Source organism: Homo sapiens, chromosome 6 (assembly GCF_000001405.40).
Source record: "Homo sapiens chromosome 6, GRCh38.p14 Primary Assembly".
In the NCBI taxonomy this organism is placed as follows: domain Eukaryota; kingdom Metazoa; phylum Chordata; class Mammalia; order Primates; family Hominidae; genus Homo; species Homo sapiens.
Genome location: NC_000006.12, coordinates 130,530,259 through 130,538,098, shown reverse-complemented (window position 1 = coordinate 130,538,098; position 7,840 = coordinate 130,530,259).

The following is a 7,840-nucleotide window of genomic DNA, read 5'->3' as shown; positions in this document are numbered from 1 at the left end:
GGTCATTTGGAGAACATAAAACACTCTGACCATTCAAGTTACCGGAATTCTCACATTGCTTCTTTCTCATCTCTGGGTATGGGTGCTCCTTTAACTGCAGTGTAGACTTATTTTCTGGATGTTTTCACCAGGTCGAGGCTTTGTGCGGGGTCTTTATTTGAAGCTGCCTTTTTGTCTCTAGTTCATAGGGGGATATGTTAGTGAGGTATATTTGGTGTTGAAGCTTTGAGGTGTGATGCAGCCGGTGGCACTGGGCTTATTGGTCAATTAATAGACTCTTGCTCAGTTGTGTGGCTCCCTGATATTTCCTCACGGTTGCAGCCATGTTCCTTCTCAGTTCTCTGAAAGTGTAGGTTCCTTTCCACCTTGAGTGCTGGCTGTAGACCACAACTTGGCACTCCTGGGCTGCCTGCTGCAGAGGAAGGGATCTTAGTAGTGGTTGTGGCTGAGGTTCATTTGCTTGTTTCCTGGGGGTTCCACCAGAGAAATGCAGTTCAGCAATTGCTCAGTGCAACCAACCCAAGATGGAGGGTTTGTGCTGTAGGCCCAAGCCAGGAGTTCCCTATCTGGTGACAAGCAGTTTGTGGGGGTGGGTGGTGGCCCATAACAGATGGACTGGCCACCTCTCCTTTGGTTGGCTGGAGCTTGTTGAAGGTGTAGATAAAGTACTTAAGGTAATTGCTCCTTTTTTAGTCTGAAGGTAGCAAGGGCACTTCTGCTGCAGAGGCAGTGGCAGAGAGGCTTTCAGTTGCCCCTGGAGGCCCTGTCCAGGGAGTTGCTGGGCTGCTACTGACTCAATAGCTCTGGTGGGGGATGGCTGGAGGCCCAGGCCTGGAGGACCTGCCTGGTGAGGAGACATGGGAATGTGCACCCACATAACAGTCTGGTTACTTTTCCACAGGGCTGCTGTAGTATGCTTAGGGCCCACTCCAGTCCTTAGTCACCTCAGGTTTTCCAGCACCTTAAGGTATCACCAGTGAAGGCTGTGAAACAGCAAAGATGGCAGCCTGCCCCTCCCTCTGGAAGCTTTGTCTCAGGGAGGTACAGACTTGTTTCCAGCCCTGTAGGAGGTGGCTGAAGACCCCAGTTGGGAGTTCCTGCCCAGTGAGGAGGAACAGAATTGAGGGCCCACTTTAAAAAGCAGTGTGTCTATGTTTTGGTAGAACATCTATGCTATGCTGGGGGTCCACTTCAGCCCCCAGTCACCTCCAACATTCTGAAGCCCAAAGGCTGGAATGGCTAAGTTGCCTAAACAGCAAAGATGGTGGCCCACCTCTCCCTCTGGGAGCTCCAGCCTAGGGAGGTTACAAATCTCTGTTGGCTGGAGAACACCGACAGGGGCTGCTGGAGACCCCAGTTGGGAGGTCCTGCCCAGTTAAGAGGGATGGGATTGCGCACCCACTTAAAGAAGCAGTCTGGCCATGCTTGGGTAGACCAACTGTGTTATACTGTGGGATTCATTCTGCTCCATTTGGCTTAGACCAAAACAGTGCCTGAAGGCTGAAACTGCTAAGTTGCCCAAACAGGAAAGATGGTGGCCCTCCCCTCCCTCTGGGAGTGCTGTCACAGAAGAAATTCAAATCTCTGTTGGCTGGGGAACACAGGCGAGGGTGGCTGAAGGTCCTAGCTGGGAGGTCCTGCTGAGTTAGGGGTGCAATCAGGGACCAAGTTAAAGAAGCAGTCTGGCCATCTGTTGGCAGAGCAGCTGTGCTGTGTTGGGTGATCCCTTCTACCACCATTGGGATTGGACTCTCTAGAGCCCAAAGGCTGGAATGGCTAAGTCTTGATAATTTTTAAAGCATGTACTTTTACACACATATATGTTTAAATATAAAAATCTTGATTGGTTCTAGGAGGTAGAGAAGAAAATGGAATTAATGGGGAGTGGTAGTGAGTGGCCAAAATAAATTTTAATTTCTTCTATAATGTTCTATTTTCTTTTAAAAGGAGACTGTATTCTTCTATTAATTTGTATAATTAGGATTAATTTTCAAACTTACTATAAAAATACAATGCTATGAATGCACACACATACACATACTCTTTCACTTAGTGCTATACAATTGTTCTCATGATTTAGAGTTCATTCTTATAATAAAATTAATAGGTACTAGTCATTAGTCACCTACCACATGCTAGGAACTGTACCAGGAGCTCTATACACATTTCATTAATCCTATTGTTAATCCTGGGAGTTAAGTGTTATTACAATATCATAAGCGAAAAAAAATCTTCATAGAGACCAAGCGCCTGACCCAATATAAGGCAGAGGCTCCATTGCAGAACTAGGAGTCACACTCATTTCTGTAAGTCTTTAAAGCACATGCGATACCCATTGCCCAATGCTTGCTTTATGTCACAGACTGACACAAGCTGACTCCTCTTATTGGCTGATATGAAGATAAAGAGTATAGCATCACTTCTGCATGAAGTCTTCCTCAAAGTTATCTTTCTCTGGGCCTTATGTTATAAAGTCAGAATGGGAATGTACGGTCCCAATGCTCCTTGCATTTCAGCATTCACAATAAACTCAGCTAGTCTAAGGGCTTGTAAGTATGGCTCCCAGAGACTGGGAAAATGGCCCAACCTGCAGCATTAAGAATGTTCCTAGACCGGGATGTACCAGCCTGGAGAGAATGAGGGTGATGAATAAGGCTTTTGTCCATGACTGAACAAGCTGTGTATTATGTATTACATATCACAGAGACTGATGAAATATACCTGGATTGCATATGGTGACCTCTGGAATGTATCCCTGTGAAGCTGTGTGGAGAAACATGCTGGGCTGATGCCTATGAAGCTGGGGCTGGAGAGATGTAGTTGTGCTTCTAGAAAGTCACTCAAACATTATCATCTGCAACTTTGAAAACCCTATAGAGAGGTATTGGGGGTGAGTCTAAAGGCTGCATCTGTCTGAGATAATGCAACTCTGTCTTTCTAGCAGGGTGCCAAGTTGCAGAGGGTTCTAGTCACAGTGCATTGCGATTGAATTGTGACTCTGGAATTGGGCAGTGCACAGCCTGGGCAGCAATTGATGGTGATATTACTGTTGTATATCTTGACTAAGCTGACTTATTTGGTGTCCTCTGAAAAATAAGCCTTGTTTGATTGGTCCTAGAGGTGCATACATCTGGTCTTTTCAAAAACCTGCACCATCTATTGACATGGGCCAATGCAGTGGCTACGCACGTTTTCTTCTAGGCATTGGCCTTTGTTTTGATGGATGCTCTGGTTATTCATTGTGAAAGCACATTTGTCAAGTCAGCTCCTTATGTTTCCAACATAGCTGTTCACTTTATCTTTCCAACACGTGCAATCTTTCAGCATTTCATCAAAATCCTTCTGAGGGGATAAATTGGTCATATAGACAATAATCCAGTTACCAATGTAACTCATTATTTTATATATTCTCTCCTTCTATCCAGTTGAAATGGTTTTATCACACACTTCTATCATAATCATGCAAGCTAAATGCTACAAACCACATGATTAGTTCAAATTTTAAAAGTACCAAAGAATCATAGTGAGGGGAGGGGTTTTGGGAGAGAATTCTTCTTGATCCCTGGATAATATCAAAGCCTTTTTCATTTATTTGCAGTTTCATTATGTAAAAAGCATTTTTCTTGTGCTGTTGGCAAGTTATATCTTAGATCCATCAGACAATCTTGGCTAAGTAGTGTCCAATACTGTAAATTGATGCACAATTGATAGGAAATAGGAGCTTATCATGCAAGAATGCAGTCATCATGATGAACCAGCCCCGACTGGAAAGTCAGAAAATACTTGACATTCTAGAAATTTTCTTCAAGACAGTGATTTCTACTTCATCGATTTTTTTTTCTAGTGTGAGTTGTAGACACTCAAAAAGATTGCCTTTTAAAAATGTTAATAAGATAAACTAAACCTGGCAGATGTTGAATAGCCCCAAGAATGAAGCTATTGCTATAGTTGAAGGATACCTTCATCATGGATGACACATGGCTTATGTTGGATAGAGTGAGCTCACAGGAATGGCTGTGCACTGTGCCTAGAAGTTGTAGGTGAGATAGCAAAAATAGTGGCAGTGTTTATTTCACATGCCCCTTCAATGTGACATGTAGAAAACACAAACTGTTTACTGAAGTCTTTTTATGACTATATCTTCTGATAATTGCATTATTCAGAGATCACAACAATAAGATACCACACCTAGAAAACTAAAGGATATGATTTCACAGAGCTTATAAGAATATTGCACCCACACAGAATTTTAAAATAAAGACATTCTTCTCAGAATGTTTTTGGATGACAGACAACTGGCTGAGTGCAGGAACCACATAAGAATAGCTAGCTATTAGAAAGCTTGGGAAATGGCAAATTTGTGAAGATCTTTCCCCAGCTGTAACAATAAAGATGTAATTGACTGTTTGCCCTAGAAATGGATGCAGACAAAGAATCTTGTTCCCATTGCTCTTTGGTTTCATTTCCTTAGTTGGCCTTAGTACCTGCTGAACTGATCTGAGGGTGCCTGCCTGGCCTGACCAGATGCTGAAACATTTCATGCAAAAGCAACATTAATAGACTTCAAGAAAATTATTGAAAGGGAGGTGGCAATTAAGGTATCCTTGGCTCCCTTTTTAGCTGCCAGGTGCTTAGATAACACCTAGGCAAAGGTAATAATTGCTATTTTGAGTAGCTTCCACCTTGACCCTGGCAAATATGGAAACTATAGAAATCCAGACTCACAAGCATGAATAATGAATCCCAAAGTTATTTTTATAATACAAATACTTTGGGACACAGTAGATAATAATTAAAATTGCATAGCCTCTTCATATCTCTTATTTCATTTAACCCTACTGTCCTATGAGAGAAATAAATAAGTGCCATTTTATAGATGAGAAACTTGGAGTTCAAAAGAGTTGTGTAGTTTAAGCCCAAGTCCTCTGGCTTGGCATTTTTTATGTCCAAACCTGTACTATTTTCACTATGTTTTATTGGATCTTACTACTCAACATTATTGGATCTACTCAACATTTAAGTGATTTTTCAAAACTACTTTTCAAATTATCTTTCTTGAACAGATTAGTGTTTTATTACCACAGTAATAAATATAAGTAAGATATTTTTTCCTACTGTTTTTTAAAAAATATTAAAGTTGTAAATCAGGGTGCCCTAAAATTTGAGTTTTCTAAATTGAGTTAAAATCAAATGAGAGATTTTGTTTTAAACTTCCTTTCTATAATTCTATCAACTGTGGGAGAGGCTAAATTCCCAAAAGTCATTTTTTATTTCCATTGAGATGGGTTCTTTCTAAATATAAAAGAGGAAAGCAAAGGGATATGATGATAGGAAGATCAATACCTGTCTAGCTGTCAAGCACTTACTGTATGCCACAAACCATAGCTGAAGGTTACCTATTCTATCACTAATCCTTGCAAGAATCTTGCAAGACACCTTTTATTGACCTTATTTTACAGGAGATAAAACTGAAGTTCTGAGAGGTAAAAAGGTAAAGAGGAGACCAGATTTCTTTTTTGCACTGCACTTAGTGTGAATGGAAGGTAAAAAGAACACACTACTCATCAACAAATACTAACCATAAAATTGTGTTTGTACCTTTCTCATTTGATCATTTTGTTATCCTGAGAGATACGGAAACGTGAGTCTTAGGACTTTAAAACCAATGAGAAGGGAGCCCCTTCCTTCTCATGCAGCCTTCTTCCTAGTGATAGGACAGTGAGGGTCAGCTGCTTGTTTTGATGAAAGGAGAAGAGGAAAACATATTATTGGAAAATGGAAGCCAAATTCCGGCAGGTTGGTGTGGTACACATTCTGCTTATCAGATACAACCTGACTCAATTAGTTTCCCCTTGAAAAAATAGATGGAGTTAGGAGCCAATTCCAGCCAACTTGGGGAAAGTGCCTCCATTCAATACCATCCCATGATAGCTATAGAAAAAAGACAAAGGGCATACAGCATGCACATATTTGATGTGTTAGTCCATTCTCACATTGGTATAAGAAAATACCTGAGACTGGGTAATTTATAGGGTTTTCTATGTATATGATCGTATCATCAGCAAACAGGGACAGTTTGACTTCCTTTTTACCAATTTTGATAACCTTGATTTCTTTCTCTTGTTGGCTAGGACTTCCAGTATTATGTTGAATAGAAGTGGTGAGAGTGGGCATCCTTGTTTTGTTCCAGATCTCAGGGAGAATACTTTCAACTTTTTCCCAAACAGTATTATGTTGGCTGTGGGTCTGTCATAGATGGCTTTTATTACCTTAAGGCATATGTCCCTTCTATGCTGATTTTCCTGAGGGTTTTAATCATAAAAAGATACTGGGTTTTGTCAAATGCTATTTCTGAATCTATTGAGATGATCATATGATTTCAAGTCTGTTTATATGGTGCATCACATTTATTGACTTGTGTATGTTAAACTATTCCTGTATTTCTGGTATGAAACTCACTTGATCATGGTGGATTATCTTTTAGATATGCCATTGTATTCGACTAGCTAGTATTTTGTTAAGGATTTTTTCCAACTATGTTCATCAGGGATATTGGTCTGTGGTGTTTTTTTGTTGTTATATCCTTTCCTGATTTTGGTATTACGGTGATACTGGCTTCATAGATGATTTAGAGAAGATTTCCTCTTTCTCTGTGTTGTGGAATAGTGTCAATAGGATTGGTACCAATTCGTTTTTGAATGTCTGATAGAATTCAGCTGTGAATCTGTCTGCTTCTAGATGTTTTTGTTAGCAATTTATTTTATTACCATTTCAACCTTGCTGCTTGTTATTGGTCTGTTCAGAGTTTCTATTTCTTCCTAGTTTAATCTAGGAGGCTTGTATATTTCCAGGAATTTATTCATCTCCTCTAGGTTTTCTAGTTTATGCAAGTAAAGATGTTCATTGTAGCCTTGAATGATTTTTTTTGTATTTCTGTGGTATTGGTTGTGATATTTCCCATTTTGCTTCTAATTGAGCTTTTTTTTTTTTTTTTGGATCTTCTCTCTTCTTGGTTAATCTCACTGGTGGTCTATCAATGTTATTTATCTTTTCAAAGAAACAGCTTGTTGTTTTTGTATTTTTTTGTCTCAATTTCATTTAGTTCTGCTCTGATTTTTGTTATTTCTTTTCTTCTGCTGGGTTTGGGTTTGATTTGTTCTTGTTTTTCTATTTCCTTGAGGTTGACCTTAGATTGTCTGTTTGTGCTCTTTCAGACTTTTTGATGTAGGCATTTAAGGCTATGAACATTCCTCTTAGCACTGCCTTTGCTGTGTCCCAGAGGTTTTGATAGGTTGTATCACTATTATTGTCCAGTTAAAAGAATTTTTTTTTTGTGACAGAGTTTTGCTGCTCTTGTTGCCCAGGCTGGAGTGTAATGGCGTGATCTCCGCTCACTGCAACCTCTGCCTCCTGAGTTCAAGTGATTCTCCTGCCTCAGCTTCCTGAGTAGCTGGGATTACAGGCATGCACCCCCACGCCTGGCTAGTTTTGTATTTTTAGTAGAGACAGGGTTTCTCCATGTTGGTCAGGCTGGTCTCAAACTCCCAGCCTTAAGTGATCTGCCCGCCTTGGCCTCCCGAAGTGCTAGGATTACAGGTGTGAGCCACTGTGCCCTGCCAAAATAATTTTTAAATTTCTGTCTTGATTTCATTGTTGACCCAATGATCATTCAGGAGCAGGTTATTTATTTTCCATGTATTTGCATGGTTTTGAGGGTTCCTTTCAGAGTTGATTTCAAATTTTTTTCCACTGTGGTCTGAGAGAGTACTTGATGTAATTTTGATTTTCTTAAATTTACTGAGACTTGTGTTGTGGCCTATAATATGGTCTGTCTTGGCAT